The sequence below is a fragment of the Homo sapiens genome, chromosome 5, assembly GCF_000001405.40.
Source record: "Homo sapiens chromosome 5, GRCh38.p14 Primary Assembly".
Classification (NCBI taxonomy): Eukaryota; Metazoa; Chordata; class Mammalia; order Primates; family Hominidae; genus Homo; species Homo sapiens.
In genome coordinates this window covers 64,745,560-64,770,100 of record NC_000005.10, presented here as the reverse complement: position 1 = coordinate 64,770,100, position 24,541 = coordinate 64,745,560, and the positions used below count along the sequence as shown (strand labels likewise).

Here is a 24,541-nt window from a genome sequence, read left to right as displayed (position 1 = left end):
TAACAAACAGGATGGTATGTTGTGTAAATTTAGCTTATCTTAATTCAACTATATACTTCCAATCTCATTTTCTCCAATATGCTGATTCATCAAATTTCATATGTGATATAAGCTAGGTCTCAATTTAAGAATTCAGGTGACACTTATTCCACAACAGACTCTTCTGCCTTGTACAGCATACAAACATCTTGGATGGGAATTGGCATACATTAGCCATCAAATCAATCAGAGAAACCTTTCCCCATTCTAATGTGGTAATAGTCCCCATTTCCCACTTTCTCTGACTGACAGTCATCTCAGGTTTTAAAACCAGCTCAAAAGATATCTTTTCCATGAGGCTTTTCCTAACTTCCCCAGTTGTTCACTACTCAGTACCGCCATAGCAACCTGGTCTCTTCTCCACAAGCACGCTTATCAGACATACAGGCTTTTGTTTACCTGTCTGTCTCACAAACTAAACTATAAGCTTTTCCGGGAAAACAACTACCTTACCCATCCATCTTTGTATCTCCGGCGCCTAGTACAGTGCCCAGTGCCTCGCAGGCGTTCAATTAATGATTGTAGAAGAAATGGAGAATGAATGACCTTAGTTAAGCAAAGAATATATCAAACTCAAAAATGTCTGTTTAAAAACCTAAGACCCCAGAAATCGGCTGCATGAGTTGGGTTAAAGCATTAAATAGGACCGGAATGCTGGTAGGTAGAGAAATCTCCACTTGACTTCTTCAAGTACATCCTGAAAAGTACCAACATCAGTGTTTCGATGCAACATTGTCCACATGCAGGAGTAAAGACAACACTTCTCGTGGTCTCTTCCTACCACGAGATCCTGAAACCCACTCCCCACCCCAAATCCGGGAAATCTCACTTTGGGGATCCCAGGACCCCAAGTTCCCTAGATGAGGCTCTCACCTTCCCATTCGTGGGAGGCTCCTGGATGTAGATGTTGCTCATCTTGGTCAGTACAAAGGACTCTGCTCCTTACGGGGGATGAGAGCGGCCGGCCGGCCACTAAAGCTGTCCGCCTACGAGTACACTCTTCCTTAAGTCCAGTGGTGCAGGAAAGCTTCAGTTTGTCAATATCACGCAAGACAGGGACACCAAACACTACCCCTGCCCAAAGGAGCCCCTCACGGACGCCGCCATGTTGTTACCGGACCCGAGCACCGCTAACCCTGAGAAGGGTTATTCCAATGTACTCCAGGGAACGAGAAAAGTCCGTAAAGTTACCATAGCTTAATGTTATTTATGTTATTTGTATTACAATATTAGAAGGGACACTTCATAAGTGTTGGCGGTGTTTACACTACTCTCGTGTGCAGATCAAACTAACTCCCCCTCCAAAACTATCAGTAATGGTTCGGACCATGTGTCTTCTGCAATATGACTCGTCCGGAAACTGCATCCGCATCTACTGGTTCTGCCGTCGCTAGAGGCGTACAGGCCCTTCCCGACCGTAGCGAGGGTGCTGCTGCGCTGGGGGAAGGAAAACGCCGCTTTGACTGTGCCTTGTTCTCACAGCTGGCGGGAAGCAAGCGCCTTTTCGAAAGCCAGAGGCTCGAGTTACCCCTCTTACCACCGTCATGGCAGTCCCAGGTAAGGAGCAATTACAGGGCCTCTGCGTCCGAGCTCCGAAGGGAGCGCAAGGGAGGGTAGGGTAGGGTGCGGCGTGTACGGAGCAGCGCCCATGGGGATTTAGGCGGAGGCCTTAAAATTCACAGGTTTGTTTTGTTTACATGAAAAAGTTTACACTCCAAACATAAACTCTGAAGGAAAGAAAATAACTATCTTCCCCCCAGGAGCCAAGCCCCAGCTGCTTGGGATTACAGGGAAAGTGTATTGTGGAAGGGAGGGAGGAGGGAGAGACTGTAACTGTAGGCCTAAGGGGGCAAGCGGCCGAGAAAAACTACCTTAACTGTGGTATGGCTTAAAACTAAAACTTGAAGTGGGAACACTTGGCCGACCCAGGTAACCGGAGGCATCGTTTGTCTTAGAAGTCGCTAGGACCCACCGGGTGTGCGGGTTCTACTCCTAGCTCTTCCTGTTGTATGTAGCTGCTCCGTGGCCATAGATTGGTCGCTTTGTGCTTCTGGGCCTCAGTTTCCTTATAAAAAGAAGGAGCTTTGTTGAATTATATATAAGATTTCTTCTAACTCTCAAATTCTATGTCCAGAAGTTACTGACCTAAAAACGGTGAACTCTGCAGAATAATTACTTAAAAGATTTTCTCGTCCTCAACTACCAGCTTACTTGGAAGTTCTAGTAGCGGAAAGCATCTCCTCAAACCAGCTTTGCCACTGCAGAACACTGATTGCAGGAGACATTTTCAGAAATACACACTTCTCCACCCCACCTCCCAACTTGGAAATTCCCAGCGCACTTTAGTAATAGAAAAGATTCTATTCTATTAGAATAGAATACTATGAATTGCTATAGAATTACTATGAACTATAGAATTACTATGGTTCAGAACCCTAACTTTGTTTAAACCTGCACTTCCCAGTATTATTTGACCAGGTTCTTTATTCTGTGGCAGCCTTTTTGAACCTCCTTCTACAGATAGCTGTTATTGGAACACTGTGCTTTTGTACTAACTGAAGTTTGCGGAGGAGTACATCTGGAGCTGTGAGAGAGGAAATGTACACTCTTTATTAAGCCTACTGTGTGCCAGGCACTGGTACTGGGCATTGGAAATACAGTGGTGAGCAAGGTAGACATGGTTACGCTTCACACAGAACTTAGAATTTAGCAGTGAAGAGAGAGAAATTTACAGAAAGTGGGACAAGTGCCATGGCAAGGAAAATACAAGACCTTAGCACAAAGTAAGGGCACCAAACACATACAGGATGGGCAGAAGGACTTTCCAAAGGAGGTAGCACTTAGGAGGAGATCTGAATTGTAGGAGGGGTGGCTTGAAGGGAGAGGAGACTGCAGTCGGAGGAACTGGATACGTAAAGGAAGAGGAAATATGTGAAAAGAGGAAATGAAAGATGTTTTCTATGGATGGAACTCAAATACAGATGGGAGATAAGTGAGAAATTAAGTACAGAGGTAGTAGCTGTAGCTAATATTGACTAATATTTATGTGTCAAATATGTCAGAATGAAAGATGTTTTCTGTGGATAGAACTCAAATACAAATGGGAGGTAAGTGAGAAATTAAGTAGATAGTAACTGTAGCTAATATTGACTAATATTTATAAGTCAAATATGTCAGATACTATATCAAACATTGTATTCTATCTCATTTAATATTCACAACTGCACTGTGAAATGAGTATTAATATTCCCATTTTACAGATGAGGACACTGAGGGACAAAGAAATCAAGTAATTTGCCTATTATGAGACAGCTGGAAAGCAAGAAGTCAGTCTGGTTCCTCTAGACTGTGTACTTCATTCATTTTGCCATCGTATAGGATAACTTACAAGGTAGTTTCCAGCTCTTTAAGGACCTGTAGGCCATGACAAGAGGTTTGGCATTATCCTACAGATGGCAGGAAGCCATTTAAGGATTTTAAAGCAGATTCACATTTTGGAAAGATAATTCTGGCTAGAAAGTAGATTGGAGACAAAGTTTACCAGTTAGGAGTAATTCTGGTGAGTTATAATGATGTGTGGCTGAGATGTGGTCTCAATAGGTAAGGAGAGAAGTGGATAAATTGAAGATACATTTTTGGTGGTAGAGTCACTAGGAGTTGGTGATTGATTCAGTGTGGGTAGGTAAAAGAGGAAATGAGGTTTACCTGGGTTTTACTGTTAAGCAATTGGGTGGGGCTGTTTACTGACATGACAACACCTCACAAGGGGCAGGGGTTAAGGGGATGATGATGACATCCAGTCTGGGGCTTGTTGTGTTGAGGTTAGTCAGACATAGGAATGCAAATAGTTAATAGTAAGAGATATAATTTGTAGCTTAGGAAAGAAGTCAGAGTCAAAGACAATGATTTGGGTGTTACCCACACACATAATAGGAGGTAAGGCTATGGGAGTGGAGCACTCTGCTTAGATGGTGTGTAGAATGTGAAGGGAAGGTCTGTGGCTGAAGCCTGGTCAACATCTAAGAGGCCAGCAGCGAAAGATAAACCTACACAGTAGATTGCCTAGGCATCCTGATAGGCCGAGTCAGCTCTAGTGATCTTTATACCACACAGCTGCACCCAAAGTTGACCTGTTATCACTGCTCATTTCATTACTTGAGCAAGCCTTTTGGGCACCTGTGTGATATGGGCACACTGGAGGACACAGTGTCATAGTCTGTGCCCTCATAAAACTTTAAGCAGTACATGAAAATGTGCTACTTAAGAAAGGGGACAAAAGTGATTTTTTAAGGCCTCATTAAAATTCTCTTAAACTTAGACCAGTGTTATAGATATGTTAACCTTCTTTCAATTCAAAATAGTGCTTCAAAGTATAATAATGTTAAATTGTGCCATTAAGCTAGATGGCAAGCTATAAACTGTTTAAACCCAGCAATAATTGAGATAATAGGTGTGACAGTGCTGTAAAAGTACAATGCAAGTGTCATTAGAAAATACAGATACAGAAAATCGTAAGATAATTTCTTAGATGATCGATCCAGACAGGGTATTAAAGGAAAATAGGGCTAATCTAAACTTTTCAAGGTTATCATCAAGGAGGACAAGTATTATGTTAGGCTCTTTAATTTTAGGTTTAATGGATTCAGTTTGGCATTTCTTGGGGTGGTCCTGCTAGTGATTATGACAAGGTATGATTATAAAGTAACAAGGCTGCTTTCTGCAAACCACACATAAAAATCAGCCTTGTCTGTTTTATGATCATGTGCTTCACCCGTGTTTCCATAGCATTGTGTATAAGCGTATACCATTATGTAGGTAATGCAATGAAATGTAGGCATTTAGGAAAATCTTACTCTTAGTTGTTATTATAGAAATAATATTTGATCACAGGTTTCAGTGAAATTTACTTTCTTTGAAAAAACTGCTTTTCCCATTCACAGTTGTTGAAATTACCTCCAACATTCATGTCAGTGATTCACCACTCTCCATGAAGAGCTGAACTGGCACAAGTGGCAACGTATGTTACTGATGTAATTGGCACAAAACTGTTTTCTTATTATCTCCTTCACTGAAGCCCTATAGCCAAGGTAGGGAATTTTTCTGTGGCCAAGCTAACATTTCAGTCTGGCACATCACAGTGAATAAGATTTTTAAAACACATTATGATAGTATCTTAGTAATAGAAGAATTCTCAATTACATCCAATTTTTCTTTATTCCTAAACTAGACTATAGGTAATTTGTTTTCTCTCTAGTCTATATTGCACATTGCTGCTAAAATAATTTTCCTGAATCATATATCTGATCCTATCATTGGTGGGAGGCATGAACTTAGTTCTTGACCCCTATCTGTGAATTTTGTAGTTCTCTTCAAGCCACTTAACCTTTTGGAGGTTCAGTTTTTGTGTCTCCATAATGGAGTTGAAGGCTAAGGTTTCTTAAGCTTCTAAAGTGTTAAAAATGCCAAGTCTCCCCATCTCTCTCTGCGAGAATGCAGTGCACACTCCCAAGCATGACCAAATCACTCTTTCTACTCTTTCCTTCCACCACTCCCCTCATGCATTCTACAATCCTGCAAAAATCTGACTTGGCCAATTATTCTGTGAACCTCTCAAGTGCTTTCCTACCTACGAGCCTTTGTTATTACCTCCTATATTGCCTGTAACTACCTATGGGAAGCTTTCCTGATCTCTTGGCTGAAACTCTTCCCTGCCACTTCTTCATGCTTATTAAATAGAGCTCTGTGTCTTTTATGGAACCTGGCACATTCTATCATGGATTACAGCTGTGGTTGCATTACCATAGATAAACTAGTATAGTGTCGCTTCCCATGGGCTGCATGCAGCTCAGGACGACTGAATGCAGCCCAACACAGACTCGTAAACTTTCTTAAAACATTATGAGTTTTTTTGTGATTTTTTTTTTAAAGCTCATCAGCTATTATTAGTGTTAGTGTATTTCAGTGTATTCTATAGTTTATGCCCTCATAAAACTTTAAGCAATACATGAAAATACTACTTAAGAAAGGGGACAAAAGTGATTTTTAAGCCCTTATTAAAATTCTCTTAAACTCACACCACTGTTATGTTAACCTTCTTTCAATTCAAAATAATGCTTCAAAGTATAATAATGTTAAATTGTGCCATTAAGTTGGATGGCAAGGTATAGATAAACTGTTTAAACCCAGCAAAAATTGAGATAATAGGTGTGACAGTGCTGTAAAAGTACAGTGCAAGTGTGGCCCAAAACAGTGTGGCCCAGCAAAGCCAGAAGATTGGATATCCCTGTAGGGGCTTGATTCATCCCTATGGCTTCTCTAACATCGAGTTCAAAGTTATACCCATCATAGGTAAATAATGAATAATTAGAGGGTTGATTACTATAACTGCTGCTGAGCAGAAATAGTACTAAACAGATTAAGCTAATACAGTCTTCATTCTGTTTCATTAGGTAATTAAATTTCTGTCTCTTCTTAAACAAATTTCTCTGTCTCTTCTATTTTTTTTTTCTTTTTTTGGGGGAGGGGGTGACGGAGTCTCGCTCTGTCGCCCAGGCTGGAGTGCAGTGGCACTGTCTCGGCTCACTGCAGCCTCCGCCTCCCGGGTTCAAGTGATTCTTCTGCCTCAGCCTCCCAAGTAACTGGGACTACAGGCACATGCCACTATACCCGGGTAATTTTTTGTATTTTTAGTAGAGGCAGGTTTCACCATGTTAGCCAGGATGGTCTAGATCTCCTGACCCTGTGACCCGCCTGCCTCAGCCTCCCAAAGTTCTGGGATTACAGGCATGAGCCACCGCGCCCAGCCTCTCTGTCTCTTCTTACACCTTTTTTCTTCACGGATTAATTGTACTTTGTGAGGCATGTAGACTAAAGAGTTTTATACATTTCATATCAGTATAAATCTCATATCAGTAAACAGCTCTTTGATTGGTTTGCTAGTTCTCCTTTTGGAGTCAAATGATTATGAAGCCTTTTTTTAATTTTTATTTGTTTATATATATATTTATTTGGAGACAGAGTCTCGCTCTGTCACCCAGGCTGGAGTGCAGTGATGCAATTTCAGCTCACTGCAACCTCCGCCTCCTGGGTTCAAGTGATTCTCATGCCTCAGCCTCCTGAGCAGCTGAGATTGCAGGCATCCACCACCACGCCTGGCTAATTTTTGGAATTTTAGTAGAGATGGAGTTTCACCATATTGCCCAGGTTGGTCTTGAACTCCTGGCCTCAAGTGATCCACCCACCTCAGCCTCCCAAAGTGCTGAGATTACAGGTGTGAGCCACCACACCTGGCCTATGAAGGCATTTTTAATGGACTATTAAGACATCTGCTATTTCAGAATACTTGCATTGAGAAACTCATTTAGCCTATTTTTTAAATTATCTTATTAATTAACGAAGTATTAATGTTTTAGTAAAAAATGACTAATTTCTACTGCTTTGTCTACTTTGACTTTAGTACAGTATTTGGGGTCCCAAAGAAAGGAGTGTGTCTATGAATTTTTAATATAAATGGTAGAAAAATAAAATACTTGGAATTTTACTTTGCATCAACTTAAGCAGAACATATATATTATATAAATAGATATTACCACTTATAAAATATGGCTGCAGTTTGAATTTTAAAAGCAGAAGTAATTGAAATTGTCTTTATAGGTTCCCCGATTGTAACTAAAACCATAATGGAGTAACCAAATATAAAACTTGTTACTAAACAAAATTAATCTAATTGACTCTAATCCAATTAAAAATGAAAAGAATGGGTCCTGTGACAGAAGTAATTGCAATTTCTAATTACTTAGTACTAAAAAACTTAGTTACTTAAGCTGTATATGTTTAAATTTAAGCGATTCTAGGAAATATTTTAATGTAATGAAAATGTCAGGCTTCCCTAAATTCCAAAATAGACAATAGGAAAAATATATTAAGTTCTAAGCATCACTGTTAAAATTCCCAGTGACTAAGTTGTTGCCTTTGGAAAGATAGGTGATGTAAAATTTCAAGGAAATAAATTTAAATCGAATATGACATTCCTTTGCGGACCACTGACCAACCTGAAGCAAGTGTTGAGGACTCGCCATCTTTCTCTCAATTTTTCTCAGTCCTTTTATTTTTGTCCCTTCTTTTTGGTTTTCTCAATATTTTCTGTTTCTTCGTTGTCTACTGTTAACTTTAAAATTTTTTTTCTTTTGTGCTAACTGCTAAGACATAATTTACATGTTTTAAAAACAGCACAGATCACAAATGTTTGGCTTGAAGAATTTTGACAAATAAATTGAGTGTGTGTGTATACGCACACGCGTATTTCTTAGCTGGCAACTGGGGTCTAGAGAAGTTGCCAGTTTCCAACTTCTGAAGTATAGTCATGCACCACAAAATGATGTTTTGGTCAATAACTGACTGCATATACAATGGTGGTCCCATAAGATTATAATACTCTTATTTTTACTGTACCTTTTCAATGTTTAGGTATGTTTAGATACACAAGTACTCACCATTGTGTTACAACTGCTTGTAGTATCAATACAGTGACATACGGTACAAGTTTGTAGCTTAGGAGCAGTAGGCTATACCATATAGCCTAGGTGTATAGCAGGCTATATCACCCAGATTTATGTACACCATGATGTTGCCACAAGGACAAAATTTCTGTGTTGTGCCTAACAACACATTTCTCAGAATGTATCCCTGTCATTAAATGAAACATGACTGTATTTTCTTAAGCTTATAACCTCAAATCAATAAGTATTTGTTGAGCACCTCTTAGCAACTCTCCATCATGGTAAGCACTGAGTTGGATTCAAAATTATATGGCTACTTTAAGTTACTGGAAGAAAAAGGACCAGCCCAATTACCTGATTCCTCCCACTATCACCCAAGTTGTTTAACAGAATACTAGATTCAGAGTAAGCCCTTAATATTTAGCAAGTATAAGAATGAAGACTCTGACATCATGAATTAATAAAATTTTATTGAAAGTCTGCAATGTAACCTCTCTGAAGAATTTACAAATGCAATAATTGCCTTTTGTCAGATAATGTTTACTTGACAGTTACTTTTCTTAGTGTTACAGTTTTGTTTGTTTGAGGGAGATTTTCCAGATTGGTTTTTGAAAGGGTAATTTAATCACCTTTCACATTTTAAAACTGCCAAAAGGTATATAGTGACATGTCTCTTACTCAAGTCCTTCTCTGTCTGGACTTAGTTTTCTTTCTTCAAGTAACCAATCTATATCCTTACAGAGGTATGTCTAATATCTTCTGTAAGAATTAAAGAAAGAGGTAAGAAACATGAAAAGATGGCTCGCCAGTCAGGACAGATTTATTTAGAGAAAACAAACGTGAGAGGTGCCTTCTGGCCAAGTTAGGTCAGAGGCACACTCACTTACAAACTAAGAGTTTTTAAAGATTCAGGGTGGGAGAGTTTATCAGAGGCTTGGACTGCTTCTCTGACTCTTTGTTGTGCTTATCTGGGAGGGAGAGTTGTGTGTCTGTTCCCATACATCTTTCTGCAGCTGCAGGCCTATCAGTCTGCATGTAGCTTTTCTATCCTAGTGCACCTGAAGGGAAAGGAATGTGCTTATTAAGGCCCACTATTTTACTGGGGCCCATTGTATGAGGGTGAAGTTTGGCAGTTGCTCAAGAGACTTTCCCCCCACCTCCCTTTGTGCCCAGCTGTCTTATCTGTATGTTATTGTCTGTTCTTTCTGGCTGCTTACAATTAGAAGAGAAGTAATTTCCTTGAAATGCATGAGGCTAGAAAGGGAGCTGGAATTTAAAGTGGTGGTGTTTGTCCCAGATGACAGTGCTCCTGCTCTATCATCTTCTTTTTTTTATACGAATGGCAGCATGCCATAAACACTGTTCTGCACCTTGCTTTTTTTCTTTTTACAGTATATCTTAGCGATCATGACATCATTAAATAAAAACCATCCCCATTATTTCATACCGTAATTGATTTAGCCAGTTCCGTATTGATATTTAAATTATTTCTACTCTGTCCCTATTAAAAACAATGCTATAGTGAATAACATTGTACATAAGTCAGTATGCATTTGTGCACATAAATTGGGAGAACTAATTCCCAAATGTGAGATTGTTGTGTCAGAGAGGTATGTACACTTGTAATTCTGACAGGTTTTGTCAGCCTGCTTTCCATAAGAGATAGTACTAATTTATGCTCCTGCCAGCAATGTATGAGAGTATGCCCCCCTACACTTCCTTCAACCTTTCAATCTTTGCGATTCTGATAAGTGAAAATGGAATCCCAGTATAGTTTTTAGTGTACATTTTACCTGTTTTAAGTAAGACTGAGCATATCTCCACATGTTTGAGAGTCATTTCTATTTCCGTTTCTGTGAACATCCTTTGCCCATTTTTTTCCTGTTGGTTACTGATCTTTTTCTTAATGATTTGCTGAGATATATACATAGGGATAATTGCTCTTTTTTGGTCCTATGAGGCGCAAATATTTTTTCCTCAAGTTTCCACGTGTCTTTTGAGTTTGCTTTTGGTGGTTTTTGCCATTCAGTTTTTTTCCAATGTCAAATTTATAAGTTTTTATATAATGCCTTTTGGATTGCAGGTCATGATTAGAAAGGAAAATTTTGAGGTGGGCACACTGTATTACTCTGAACAGCCTTAGCAAACTTCAAAAAGGAATGGAGCCAAGAACTGCACGGGAGCCCAAGGCAGGGAAGTAGGTAACTTAGCTGAGTAAGGACCTCACAATATAGCTCTACTATAGTCACTTTGACATGGATTTTGAGTACCGTTATATCAGCCAGGGTTCTTATTCCAAACGATAGAAACTGACTAGTTAACTTAAGCAGAAAAGGAAAGATATCAGCTAGCTCAGTGAATCTAAGCAAAGCCTGCATAATAAGGGTCAGAAAATAGAAATGACCCAGGGAACCCATATCCAAGATCCTGCACAAGCCCAAACCTGGTTAGGGCTGCTACTGCCAGTGACATCAGTGCCCCTGGAAACTGGATCCTGACAGCAGAATGAATTAACTTTCCCCACTTTATTGTGTCACTTGCCTCAGATCTATTAAGTCAGTTGCCTCAGATTCAAACTCTTGGGTAGAAGCATTCAGTTGCCCAGACAATCACGAAAATTAAAGACTAATGAAGCTGAAATAATAATTTAACCAAAGACTGGTGAGGAACTAGCTGATGTAAAGTACTTTATTTAGAGTTCTGGTTATATTTCCCTGTCATGTAAAAGTTTCAACTTTAGTAAAGATGATGATCTGCCAAGAAAAAGTTTCATAGTTTGTTTACTCTAAAACTGTGGGATACTTGAGTGATGAATTTATCAGTGCCTTTTGTCATGAGTTCAATTCTAATACATGCAGAGATAAGATTATTTCAGATCTATTACAACATTTTTATTCTGTTGTAGTAATAGTAATGATGCATTTAGCATAATTTTATTCAGTATTTTTTTAGCATCTACAGTTTCTATGGAAACAGATTTAACGCTGACCCCAATTCTCTGAGCTTTTCTCAACATGCAGTTGTTTTCAAAATGAAAGACCCTCAGATTATATTATTCATTTGATTTTATTCCAGTCAAATTCTGCTACAACATATTTGTTTTTAACTATGACAGGGTTTACAGGGAAACAATGGGATTAGAGTACAATGCTCAAAAGCTTCAATGACATATTAAAAAAAGATAGGAACCAACATGGTGAAACCCCGTCTCTACTAAAAATACAAAAATTAGCCGGGTGTGGTGGCAGGCACCTGCAATCCCACCTACTCAGGAGGCTGAGGCAGGAGAATCACTTAAACCTGGGAGGCAGAGGTTGCAGTTTGCTGAGATCACTCCACTGCACTCCAGCTTGGGTGATAGAGCAAGACTCAGTCTCAAAAAAAGAAGGGCCAGGAGCAGTGGCTCACACCTGTAATCCCAGCACTTTGGGAGGCCAAGGCAGGTGGATTACGAGGTCAGGAGATCGAGACCATCCTGGCTAACATGGTGAAACCCCATCTGTACTAAAAAAAAATACAAAAAATTAGCCTGGCGTGGTGGCGGGCGCCTGTAGTCCCAGCTACTCAGGAGGAGGCTGAGGCAGGAGAATGGTGTGAACCCAGAAGGCCAAGCTTGCAGTGAGCTGAGATCACGCCACTGCACTCCAGCCTGGGCGACAGAGGCAGACTCCGTCTCAAAAAAAAAAAAAAAAAAAAAAAAAAGATAGGAACCTAATAGAAACAGTAGCACAGTTTTACACGTTAATTGGTTAAAAAAATGCATAAATACTACAATAAGTATGACATTTTACCTCTTAAAAGACCTGGAGTTTGCTGTGCAAGTGAGCTTCAGAAGAGTTGCAGTTTGTGAGTTGTGAAGTGACCGTAAAAGGGCAATAAGAAATCCATGAAAAGTTGTAACACCAGATGTTGATGGATGTTCACAACATTTGCGGTGAACTGAGGTCACTAGAAATGTTTTGAGATGTATGTGCTTGTGTATTTTGTATACTCCTGTGTGGTTCAGATCAGCTGGATGCAATGTTCTGCATTTACTTAGTGTTTTATGTGGATGAAAATCACATTATGCTCAAATTTTTCCCCAATGTATCAATTACATTAGAACAATACTTGCATTTTTAAAACAAGTATTGTAGTAGAACAGACTGTACTTTTACTAGAATAATTAGAGACAGAGTCTCCCTCTGTCACCTAGGCTGGAGTGCAGTGGCGCAGTCATAGCTCACTGTAACCGTGAATTCCTGGGCTTGAGCGATCCTCCTACCTCAGCCTCCCAGGTAGCTAAGACTAAAAGCACATGCCAGGACCAGCTAATTAAAACAAAGAATTTGTAGAGATGTGGTCTCACTATGTTGCCCAGGCTGGCCCCAAATTCCTGGCCTCAAGGAATCTTCTCAAACTGCTGGGATTACAGGCGTACGCCATGATGCCCCACCTCAATAATGTATACTTTAAAATAATATTAAAATTTAAGGGGAAAATAACTAATGTTTTAACTTCATAACACCAAAGAAATAGTTTTAAAATTATATTTGTTTTTAAATTAGCACTGTTTTATGTTTGGACTGTATATATTTAAATATATTATTTAGTTAGGATTATATCTCCATTTCAAGGGTTTGGGAATTATATGCCCTTTACCAGGAAAATGGAATAATACCTGTAATCCCAGCACTTTGGGAAGCTAAGGCAGGCGGATCATGAGGTCAGGAGATCGAGACCATCCTGGCTAACATGGTGAAACCCCATCTCTACTAAAAATACAAAAAATTAGCTGGGCGTGGTGGTGGGTGCCTGTAGTCCCAGCTACTCAGGAGGCTGAGGCAGGAGAATGGCGTGAACCTGGGAGGCAGAGCTGGCAGTGAGCCGAGATACGCACCACTGCACTCCAGCATGGGTGACAGAGTGAGACTCTCTCTTAAAAAAAAAAGGAAAAGGAAAAAAGAAGAAAATGGAATAATACTATACTGGGGCTTTCATTGGTTGATTGAAGCCACTATTGGAGGATAAAATTAGTTTTAACTATATGTGCATACAATGGAATATTATTCAGCCATAAAAGGGAATAAAATTCTAATACATGCTATAATATGGATGAACTTTGAAAACATTCTGCTAAGTAAAATAATCCAGGCCCAAAAGACAAATATTGTATGATTTCCCTATATATGAAGTACCTAGAATAGACAAACTCATAGAGACAGAAAGTAGAATAGAGACTACTAGGGGCTAGAGGGAAGAGGGAATAGTCAGTTTTTTAATGAATGCAGTTAGTATTTGGGATGATGAAAGAGTTTTTGAAATGAATAGTGATGATGGTTGTACAATATTGTGAATGTACTTAATACACCTAAATTGTATACTTTAAAATGGTTAAGATGGTAAATTGTATGTTATTTATATTTTATCACAATAAAAAGAAATCAGTTTTAATTTGTCTCTGGTATCTATATCTTTAGCATTGCCTGCATGTACTACTAATTATACAGGATTACTGTATTTGTAAATATTTATCAGAACTGGGTGAATATATGACTAGTTTGTTTTCTCTTGTCAAAATTTGAGTGTTGAATTTAGATATTTCTTATAATACCTAGCAATTATAGTAAATGTTCTGGAATTTCACCAATTCCTATAAGAAATTAGATATTTTTTCCTTCTAATGGAAAACAGGAGAATATTTGTTAACCTTAATGTATGTATGTGTGTGTATATATATACATATATATATAAATTATTTTACATTTGAGGGACAGGCCAGAGTACCCTGGAATTTCTTCCTCAATGCTATAGAATTCTTGGAATATTTAAACTCTTAACTGTTTACTAGATTTTTTTTTTTACTTTCTTTTATTTTTCAACTTTTATTTTAGACAGAGTGGATACATGTGCAAGTTTGTTACCTGAACATATTGCATAATGGTGAGGTTTGGGGTACAAATCCCATCACTAAGGTACTGAGCATAGTACCCAACAGTTTTTCAACCCTTGTCCTCCCTCCTCTCCCAATGGTCCCCAGTATCTGTTATTGTCATCTTTATGTCCATGAGTACCCAATGTTTCAGCTCCCACTTATAAATGAGAACATGTGGTATTTGGTTTTCTGTTCCTGTGTTAATTCACTTAGGATAATGGCCTCCACCTGCATCCATGTTGCTGCAAAGGATGTAATTTCGTTCTTTTTTATGGCTTCATAGTATTCCATAGTGTATATGTAGTGCATTTTCTTTAATCCACCATTGATGGGCACCTCAGTTGATTCCATGTCTTTGCTGTTGTAAATAATGCTGCAATGAAGATGTGAGTGCATGTTTCTTTTTGGTAAAATGATTTTTTTTTTTTTTGGATATATACCCAGTAATGGAATTGCTGGGTCGAATGATAGTGCTGTTTTAAGTTCTTTAAGAAATCTCCAAACTGCTTTCCACAGTGGCTGAACTAATTTACATTCCCACCAACAGTCTATAAGCATTACCATTTCTCCACAGCCTCACCAATATCTGTTGTTTTTTGACTTTTTAATAATAGCTATTCTGACTGGTGTGAGTTGGTATCTCACTGTGGTTTTGATTTGCATTTCTCTGATGATTAGTGATGTGGAGCTTTTTTTTATGTTTGTTAGCCATATGTGTTTGTCTTATTTTATTATATTGAATTAGAAAAAAATGTTATTGATGTATTTGTCAAATAATTTGAGTAAATTGGCCTTTCTGTTGATTTATAAGAGTCATATAATTGAGTAGGTCATTAAGCTGGGTCAGAGATGATTTTTTGTTGTTGCTGTTTCTTAAAGAAATAAATTCTACTGGGTGCGGTGGCTCTTACCTACAATCCCAGCACCTTGAGAGGCCAGAGGAGGATCGCTTGAGGCCAGAAGTTTGAGATCGCCTGGGCAACAAAGCACAACCTCATCTCTGCAAAAAAATTTAAAAGTTAGCCAGGTGTGGTGGCACATGCCTGTAGTCTCAGCTGCTTGGGAGGCTAAGGTAGGAGGATCGCCTGAGCCAGGAGCTGGAGGCTGTAGTGAGCTGTGATCATGTCAGTGTACTCTAGCCTTGGTGACAGAGTGACACCTTGTCTCAACAACAAAAAAAAAGAAATTCTATAACAAATGGTTTTTCTTAGCTTTTTTCATACAATAAAGTTTTTAAGTTTTCGCATATTTATTTACTTCCTAAAATTCTATCCAATTGTATTTCAGGTTGCAACAAGGACAGTGTCAGAGCAGGCTGTAAAAAATGTGGCTACCGTAAGTATTCTAAAAGATGACATGCTTTGCATTATTCATACTGGAATCATGGCCTCTTTGGGCAATATAATGTAGCACCCTGATTTCAGGGGCCCAGTTGCATAGTCCTTTAGCCCTAAGCTAACATCTAGTTACAGAAATTCCTCTGTTAGCACTAAATATTCACTTTTCTTCCCTGCTTTAGACCCAGTAACAGGTAGCTATGTATCTGATGACTACCAAAAGTAGCATGAAGATACAGGTGGTTAGTAGTAGATTAAGGAGTTTGGAGAAAGTATATTTTTTAAAAACTATATACATACTTATTCTTTTCCCCCTTTCCACATACTAGGAGAAAAAGTGAAGGCAATGCAAACTATTTATGAAGATTTTTTGTGTTTATTACATTTACTTTAAAGATTCAATTGGTCTCAGAATTTCTGCTCATGGGCGAAAACTTGATTTAAACAATTATTAATCTCCATTATGATTAAGTGAGTGAAAAGGTAAACTTAAGCATGTGTAATTATAAATATAAATTTGTAATTTTATACTGTAAGTAAATATTCTTTAGTTAAATATAGTAATGCCTAAAGCTTTAGTAACAGCTATAGCAACAACATTTGCTATTTTCTAAGTTGTTTGCAGACCGTGTGAATTAGCCTGGATTGTTAATACATTCCAATTCATTGAAGAGTTATTAAGTTTTACCAACTAAGAATGATTTGACAAAAAGATGTTCATGCAAGAACATGTGATAAGAGAGTACTCGGCATAAATCTCCATCAGAAGGGCACATTAAAAGAATGCTGAGAGAACAAGTCGCATACTTCCAAGCAAAGCTAAAACTGGCTCAAGGGAAGCTTGCTCAAGTAGCAAAATTGCATATATAACTATATATATCACTCACATAAATGAAAACTGAAGAATGTACTTGCACGCAAGAAATGAGTGCAATGAAATCTTTTCTATTTTTAAATTTGTTTATATTTCTACTTGTTTGCTTTCTTTCAAGCATTGCTAACTTTGTTTACTTTCTTTTAATCATTGCTGACTTACCTGCCTCATTTCTTTATTCAAGAATTAAGAACCTACAAATGCTTCATTTACTTCAAAATCTGGAATGGATTTCCCAGTCTGTCTACTAATATCAGTCTCTATACTTGGACTTCTTTTAACCTAACACTTTGAGGAAAGCAATTAAATTCATTTTCTGGAAATAAAATATTTGTTGATGTAGTCTCCTCATTGTTATTTTATTTAAGACAACAATGGAAGTATCTGCAGTAATTAGAATTCTTTAGGAGAAGCCAAGTCAGCAAATCGTTTTGTCAATATTTCCGTATTTAGTTATTTTTGCTTTATTATTTAGATCTTTGATTTTAGTGATTTAGTTGTTAAACAATTTCTGATTTGTCTCCTGTGGAAAAATTTAGTCATATTTCCCTTCTGTGTTAAATTTACATCTCCACAGCTATTAAAGATGAAGGTCTTCTCAATTTACAAGTCTTTCTAATAGAAATTTCATTTACAAATTAGCTTATCTTTTATTTGGGGGCCAGAATTTTTGTATTGCTTGTATAAAGGTAAGAGAAAGGTCAAGAAGATGATTTGAAATACTTTTAATTCCCAAAAATATGGGTATTTTTCAATTGTTTACAAAAGAATATTCTCTCTCTTTTGTTGCAAAAATAGTTGTTCAGATTGTACAATTTAAAGAATTTCAATACTTGATAGAAAAAGAGCTTATTTCTCAGTATATTTCAATAGTGAATATATTGTTTTTTAAAGTTTTGAGTTAAGTTTGAATATATTATTAAATAACATGGGTCTCTCTTTCTGTGGCAGAATTTCCTTAGCAAAATTAACTTAAAAGAAATTCACAGGCCAGGCATGGTGGCTCACGCCTGTAATCCCAGCACTTTGGGAGGCCAAGGTGGGTGGATCACGAGGTCAGGAGATCGAGACCATCCTAGGTAACCCGATGAAACCCCGTCTCTACTAAAAATACAAAAAATTAGCCGGACGTGGTGGCGGGCGCCTGTAGTCCCAGCTACTTGGGAGGCTGAGACAGGAGAATGGCGTGAACCCGGGAGGTGGAGTTTGCAGTGAGCCGAGATTGCGCCACTGCACTCCAGCCTGGGCGATGGAGCGAGACTCCATCTAAAAAAAAAAAAAAAAAAAAAAAACACACAAAAAAAATTCACAGAAAAAGAGTTATTTTGATAATGAGTTTTTATTAGAATTTATTTTTAAGTTGGTAACTTCGGAATATTTAAAAACAGCAAGGACACTAGGCCTTGGGATTATTTATGGGATAAATGTCTCAAATAATCATGATAGTTTTCAGAAAGTATGATTAAAAGATTAGTATAGTAGACCCAGTGGTTGATCACAGCAGCAGGAAATAAAAACAAATATGTAAATACCTTTAACATTTTACATAAATATAAATTTGTCACTTTTTTATTGCCTGTTTATATGTCTGTTTATTGGTGTTCAGTCTTGTGTGTGTAAACCACATCTGAAATGCATTTTCTATTTTTTATAGTTTGCTTCTTCAAAGGTAGGCAAGAAGTTAAGATACTTGTAAAGAAATTTATCATTAATTCTCAACCACAGGTGGTACTGCCTCCCTAGAAATCTGTAGAAGTGTTTTTTATTGTCAGCAACAGGATGGAGGGTGCAGCACTATGACGCTTACTATGTAGAGCCCAAAGATTATAAACGTCCTACAATGGTAGGACAGTCCTGGACAGTGAAGAACATTCTGGCCCCAAATGCCAATGGCATTCCCTTTGAGAAGCAGGTACCTTGTCCCATTATTTTAGATTATTTTTTTCCTTTTACAGTCTTATTGCCATTGCTGAATTTGTCAATTGCTTTTTAAAAGCAACTTAATTACATCTTTCTAAAGGTACAGCTTTTGTTTCCTAGAAACAACCAAGCTTTTTTTCTCCACATTTATATTTTGTTGACCTATATGATATTTAATTAAACATATTTTAGAATAATAACAGACTCCTCATAGAGTACAATATCAGATGGTGGAGTAAAATAATATAGGCATAAACCGAGGGAAAAGTGACCGGGAAAATATGGCAGAAGAAACAAGAGCATGTAGCATCACATTAGCCAAAGGATGTGGGGGAAATTGTCAGGTGCAACAGATAAGAGTTATAAGAAATGAACTGAAAAATGTTCTTTGGGTTTGGCAGGTAGGATGCTTTGCTTCCCTTAGCAAGATCAGTTTAAGTAGATTTGTAGGTCATGAAACAAAGTGTGTAGATTCAGGCCTGAGTGGTGGGGGATGAAATAGAGAAAGCCAATGTAGTCTCCATTTTCAAGAAATTTCCATGAGAGAGGTACAAAACATTGAGTAATTTCTGGAAGAAACTGGGATAAATGGAGAGGGTTTTTTTCTTTTTTCTTTTTTAAGGTATAAAATGTTGGTATAGACTGAGGGAAACATTAGAGGACATATTACAAATACTGGAGGATAAGGAAAGATTAAGCAAGTTCCTCTAAGAGGTATGACAAGGATACCTCTGAAGTTTGGAAGAAACTAGATGAGAATAGATATAGATGTTTTCAGGTGGTGATAGAAAGTAGGAGATCCAGCCTGGTAATCTCAATTTTGTTTGTAAATTAGAAGACAGGATTGCCTCCTTAGGTAGGGAGTTTGAGTAGGACAGGACAGTGAGTGATGAATGTTTTGAGACAGGTACCAGTTTGAGAAAGTCATTGAGGGAAGTAGGAGAGGAAGTTGACTAAGGACAAATAAAAAATGCTAATATGCATGAACAGGTGGTTGTTACACTCAAGCATTGCCTGACTACTCTGTGAGGTGGTGGGGGAGTGGTGGGTAACAACCCAGAGAAATAGTAACTTTGAGTCAGATTCATTTGTCTGCAATGAGGATGAACAAGGGTATATAAAAGAGTCAGACTTGTAAAAGGTTGTTCATATTGTCAGTAATAAGAGATTTGAGACTGGGAGAAAATGAAGGCATTAAGGGAATGAAGATCATAATGAGAATCAAAAACAGATCTATGCATGAGTGTAAATGAATGAAAAAGCTAGAAGGATGAAAGACACAGTCAGAGTTTAATATTGGAGTTTAAAATTTCAGAGATAAAACAGTTGCAGATGATAACAAGGACCATAGTGTGACCATGGAATCTAGAATGTCAGGGAACCCAGAAAAGCTATCCAACAACCTAGGCTGTCCATTCAATCTCGTGGCAGGGCTTGGGGTAAAGAGTTAGAGTATGAGCCACATTCAAAAAATTTCAATGAATGGGGCTGTTAACCTGCAGCAGGGAGCTGAGTGGACAGTTAAGGATTACTACTTGGAAACAATATTGAGAAGCCTGGAGAATACTAATAATACTGAGGTAAAGGATAATTAACTATAGAGAAATGCCCTCAAGGAAGAGCCAAATATCCCTTAAGTGTGGTGGCAACACTATGTGAGCGCATAGGACAGTTACATGTTTAAGAATCTATCGAAAAAGACTAGGAAAGGGGCAATGATCAGCTAGGTCAGTGGGGAAATAAAAGATAAATATGAGGATAAGACTTCCAAGGAAGTTGGCCAGGTGCAGTGGCTCATGCCTGTAATCCTAGCACTTTGGGAGGCTGAGACAGGCAGATTGCTTGAGCCCAGGAATTTGAAACCAGCCTGGGCAACATGGCGAAACCTCATCTCTACAAAAAACAAACAAAAAAACTAGCCAGGCACGGTGGCGTGCACCTGTTGTTTCAGCTACTTTGGAGGCTAAGGTAGGAGGTTGGCTTGAGCCCAGGATGCAGAGGTTGTAGTGAGCTAAGATTGTGCCACTGCACTCCTGCCTGGGTAACAGAGCCAGACCCTCTCTCAAAGGAAAAAAAAAAAAGACTTCAAGAAAGAATATATGACTACAGAAGAGGCCGGCATTTTTAGGGGTGGAACCAAAATGTTAGGGATGTGGAAGCTTGGTGGAATGAACTGGGTTTAGGAATTTAAAAGCTTATAAAATAGCTTGTGTGTTCTCAAATCTGAGGATTTTAGGTAGAGCTAAAGCCTGGTTAAATTAGTAGCTGTTAGCATAGTCTATATATTCTGTAAGCCCAGAAGTAGACATTTGGGTACCCTATTTATAAAACAAGAGGGTTTTTGTGTGTGTGTATAGATTGACAGATTTTTATCTGTACAGTCAAAATGAAACATGAAACTGGAGGGTTTTTATTATTATTATTATTATTATTATTATTATTATTATTATTATTATTATGTGGCATAGCTACTCCTGGAAGGAGGAAAGGGGAGAATATACTTGTCCTTGTATTAGTAAAATAAATGGTCATAACCTGGTACCGTGTATTAAATACCTATTTAGTGCTAGTCTCTGTACTAACTGCATGAAAGATATTATTTTATTCTTAAAATAACTCTGAAATAGGTTTCATGATCTCCAGTTTTATTAACATTCAAGACAAGTGGTTCTGGCACCCGATTACTTAGGTACAAACCTCTGCTGGCACTTACTAGCTATGTGACATTAGGCAAATTGCTTGATCACTGTGTTTCAGTTTCCTGTCTGTAAAGTGGGATCATTGTAGTACCTAATCCCATAGAGTTGTGTAAATTAAATGAATTCATGCAAGTGTTTGGATCAATGACTGGCTTCAGTAAATCCTCAATACTTGTTATTTTTGTTATTGTTCCAAATCAGAAAACTGAGGCCCAGGGTTACTGTGTTAGTCAGTGGGAAAACTGAGATATGAACTCTGGTTATCTGTAAGATTTAATACTATGCCATGCTCCTTTTCATTTGCTTTTTTAAAAAATTGTGTTAAAATATATATAACACAAAATTTGCCATTATAACCATTTTTTAAATATACAATTCAGTGGCAGTAAATACATTCACAATGTTGTAAAGCCATCGTTACTATTTATTGCAAAACTTTTTCATTGCCCCAAATCTGTAACCATTAACCAGTAACTCTCCACTCCCTCCTTTCCCCAGCCCTTATTAACCTATCCCTGTGAATTTGCCTATTCTAGATATTTCATATAAGTAGAATCATACATATTTGTCCTTTTGTGTCTGACTTATTTCCCTTAGCATAATGTTTTCATAGTTCATCCATGTTGTAGCATGTATTATAACATCATTCGTTTTAATGGCTGGATTATTTCTCTATATGTATATACCACATTTTGTTTATCCATTCCACTGTGGATAGACACTTGATTGTTTCCACATTTTAGCTATTATGACAAGTGCTGCAATGAATGTTGATGTACGAGTATCTGTTTGAGTCCCTGTTTTCAATTCTTTGGGGTATGTACATAGGAGCAGAATTACTATGTTGATTTTTTTGAAAAACTGCCAAACTGGTTTTCTTTTTTTTTGAGGTGGAGTCTCGCTCTGTCACCCAGGCTGGAGTGCAGTGGCGCCATCTCGGCTCACTGCAACCTAACCTCTGCCTCCCAGATTCAAGCAATTCTCTTGCTTCAGCCTCCCAAGTAGCTGGGACTACAGGTGTGTGCCACCATGCCCGGCTACTTTTTTATATTTTTAGTATAGACGAGGTTACACCGTGCTAGCCAGGATGGTCTCAATCTCCTGACCTCGTGATCCACCCACCTCTACCTCCCAAAGTGCTGGGATTACAGGCGTGAGCCACCGCGCCCGGCCGAAAAACTGCCAAACTGGTTTTCGTAACAGCTATACCATTTTACATTCCCACTAGAAATATACAAGGGCTCTAATTTCTCTACCTTTTTGCCAACACTCGTATTTTCCCTTTTAAAAAATAGCCATTTATGATCATAAGAAATGTATATTTGGTCATTGTCCCTGGTTCTTGACACAGAGCTTCTAAAACTCTTGGAATTTCCTGAGTGATACGGGTGATAGGAGCATCTTTTATTATTCATAGCATGCCCCTTTCAACCATGCCTGAGTTTATACTAATAAGGCGATTCTTGGGAGGCTCCTAGATAATTTCAGGATGGAGGCCATTTGCCAGAGGAACAATCCATGTGATTAGAAAGTTGGAGCTTTCAGCCCCACTTCCAGACCTCTAGAAAGGGGAGAAGGATGAGGAGCTAGAGATTGAATTTAATCACCAGTGGTCAGTGATTGAATCAATCACGCCTATCTAATGGGGCCTTCATAAAAACCCCTAAACTACAGGGTACAGAGAGCTGCTGGGTTTGTGAACACACAGAAGTGCCACGATTGTGGCACACAGAGAGCACATGGAAGCTCTATGCCCCTTCTTTTCCCTATGCCCCTTCTTTGCCCTACGCATCTCCTCCATTTGGCTGTTCTGAGTTCCGTGCTATATAATAAACAGGTAATAGTAAGTAAACTGTTTTGCTGAGTTCTGTGAGCCTTTCTAGCAAATTTTCGAATTTGAGAATGGGGTTATGGGAACCCCCTGACCTTATAAAGCTGGCTGGTCAGAAGTATGGGTGGCCTAGACTCGCTATAGGCATCAGAAATGGGAATAGTCTTGTGGGTCTGAGCCCTTAACTTGTGCTAACCCTGGGTAGTAACAGAATTGAATTGAATTGTTGAACACCCAGTTAGTGTCCAGAAAGTTGGAGAACTGGCTGTTGGTGTGGAAAAAACCCACACATTTGATGTCAGAAGCGTTGTGAGTAGAAACAATTCAGATCATCCTCATAGGTATGAAGTGGTACCTCATTGTGGTTTTGATTTGCATTTCTTTAATGACTAATGATGTTAAGTATCTTTTCATGTGCTTATTCACCATTTGTATTTCTTCTATAGACAAATGTCTATTCAAGGCCTTTGCTCATTTTTTAACTAGGTTGTGTTTTTGTTGAGTTATAGTTGTTCTTTATGTATTCTGGATATTAAGCTCTACCAGATAGATGATTTGCAAATATATTCTCCCTTTTCACTTTCCTGATAATTTTGCACAAAAGTTTTTAATTCTGACGACCATTTTATCAATTTTTTTCTTTTGTTGCTTGTGCTTTTGGTGTTAGATCTAAGAATCCATTGCCAAATCCAAGGTAATGAACATTTACTCCTATGCTTTCTTCTAAGAGCTTTATGGTTTTATATTTTATTTTATTTGACCCATTTTTAGTTAATTTTTACATATAGTCTGAGGTGAGGGGTCCAACTACATTCTTTCCCATGTGGAAAAGTTGTCTCTGTACCATCTGTTGAAAAGACAATTCTTTCCACACTGGATGGACTTTCACTCTTGCTAAAACTCAGTTCGCTATGTATATGTGGGTTTATTTCTGGACTTTCAATTCTATTCCATTGGTCTGTGTGTCTATTCTTATGCCAGTACCAACTGCTTTGATTGCTATAGATTTATAATAAATTTTAAAATCCAGAAGGGTGAATCCTCCACCTTTTTTTTTCTTCTACATTGTTTGCTGTAAGAACATTTAGATTGCTAGCCATAAGAACTGTAATTTGCAACACAGTTATTACCTAGGCTTCACTAACTTATTCCCCAATAGAAAAAAAAATCAGTAAGAAACTTTATTTGTAGTTTTGCAATTAATTTGTCTTATCACCTTAGGGTCGCTTTGCTTGAAGCAAAGCTAAAATGGATGTGGGGCAGAGACTGCTACCAGTATGGTCATTATTTAAGCATTTTATTTATTTTTAATATTCATTTCAATGAGAGGATGAGAGGTATTTGGGTACAAAGCTAGCTTAAGTACTGTAAAGATTGAGCATCAGGAGTTTTTTTTTTTTTTGAGGCAGTTTTACTCTGCTGCCCAGGC

The 24,541-nt window shown here is 38.1% G+C and overlaps 2 protein-coding genes and 1 long non-coding RNA gene across 9 annotated transcripts in view, besides 8 other annotated features; 2 read left to right on the top strand and 1 right to left on the bottom strand.

The window, feature by feature from the left end:
- Positions 1-1,183, bottom strand: part of CWC27 (CWC27 spliceosome associated cyclophilin) — a 249,846-nt gene extending 248,663 nt beyond the window's left edge. For 4 of the 5 annotated variants that reach the window (NM_005869.4, NM_001364478.1, NM_001318000.2 and 1 more), the window contains exon 1: positions 913-1,171. In NM_005869.4, the coding sequence (NP_005860.2) occupies positions 913-954 (42 nt within the window). In that variant the 5' untranslated portion in view covers positions 955-1,171. Of the gene's footprint in view, positions 1-912 lie in introns of all 5 variants that reach the window. The other variant, NM_001297644.1, reaches the window with a different exon arrangement.
- Positions 675-1,399: an enhancer, noted in NCBI's record as "H3K27ac hESC enhancer chr5:64064529-64065253 (GRCh37/hg19 assembly coordinates)". NCBI's record gives its function as "activates a minimal SCP1, AML or CMV promoter by ChIP-STARR-seq in naive and primed H9 embryonic stem cells {active_cell/tissue: H9 hESC(naive and primed)}" and the evidence as "EXISTENCE:reporter gene assay evidence [ECO:0000049][PMID:30033119]".
- Positions 675-2,126: a biological region, named in NCBI's record as "MED14-independent group 3 enhancer GRCh37_chr5:64063900-64065099".
- Positions 829-2,028: an enhancer, noted in NCBI's record as "MED14-independent group 3 enhancer chr5:64063900-64065099 (GRCh37/hg19 assembly coordinates)". NCBI's record gives its function as "activates an origin of replication core promoter dependent on BRD2, BRD4, P300/CBP and CDK7 cofactors, and independent of MED14, by STARR-seq in HCT116 cells {active_cell/tissue: HCT116}" and the evidence as "EXISTENCE:reporter gene assay evidence [ECO:0000049][PMID:35650434]".
- Positions 1,118-1,437: an enhancer, noted in NCBI's record as "active region_22600". NCBI's record gives its function as "activates an Ori minimal core promoter by ATAC-STARR-seq in GM12878 lymphoblastoid cells {active_cell/tissue: GM12878}" and the evidence as "EXISTENCE:reporter gene assay evidence [ECO:0000049][PMID:35858748]".
- Positions 1,365-1,659: a silencer, noted in NCBI's record as "tiled region #1989; HepG2 Repressive DNase matched - State 1:Tss". NCBI's record gives its function as "represses a minimal TATA promoter and a strong SV40 promoter by Sharpr-MPRA in HepG2 cells {active_cell/tissue: HepG2}" and the evidence as "EXISTENCE:reporter gene assay evidence [ECO:0000049][PMID:27701403]".
- Positions 1,400-2,126: an enhancer, noted in NCBI's record as "H3K27ac hESC enhancer chr5:64063802-64064528 (GRCh37/hg19 assembly coordinates)". NCBI's record gives its function as "activates a minimal SCP1, AML or CMV promoter by ChIP-STARR-seq in primed H9 embryonic stem cells {active_cell/tissue: H9 hESC(primed)}" and the evidence as "EXISTENCE:reporter gene assay evidence [ECO:0000049][PMID:30033119]".
- Positions 1,410-24,541, top strand: part of SREK1IP1 (SREK1 interacting protein 1) — a 50,544-nt gene continuing 27,412 nt past the window's right edge. The window contains exons 1-2 of the mRNA NM_173829.4: positions 1,410-1,596; positions 15,739-15,786. Of these exons, the coding sequence (NP_776190.1) occupies positions 1,584-1,596; positions 15,739-15,786 (61 nt within the window). The 5' untranslated portion in view covers positions 1,410-1,583. The remainder of the gene's footprint in view (positions 1,597-15,738; positions 15,787-24,541) is intronic.
- Positions 1,588-1,677: an enhancer, noted in NCBI's record as "active region_22599". NCBI's record gives its function as "activates an Ori minimal core promoter by ATAC-STARR-seq in GM12878 lymphoblastoid cells {active_cell/tissue: GM12878}" and the evidence as "EXISTENCE:reporter gene assay evidence [ECO:0000049][PMID:35858748]".
- LOC124900985 (uncharacterized) lies at positions 1,605-15,362 on the top strand. Of its 3 annotated transcripts, XR_007058787.1 has the most exons (4): positions 1,605-3,146; positions 4,980-5,126; positions 10,621-10,734; positions 15,331-15,362. It is a non-coding gene; the product is annotated as an uncharacterized LOC124900985 (long non-coding RNA). The 3 variants fall into 3 exon arrangements; XR_007058788.1 differs by lacking the exon at positions 10,621-10,734 and having other exon boundaries at positions 15,331-15,357; XR_007058786.1 differs by lacking the exon at positions 15,331-15,362 and having other exon boundaries at positions 10,621-13,970.
- Positions 3,722-3,861: a silencer, noted in NCBI's record as "silent region_16053". NCBI's record gives its function as "represses an Ori minimal core promoter by ATAC-STARR-seq in GM12878 lymphoblastoid cells {active_cell/tissue: GM12878}" and the evidence as "EXISTENCE:reporter gene assay evidence [ECO:0000049][PMID:35858748]".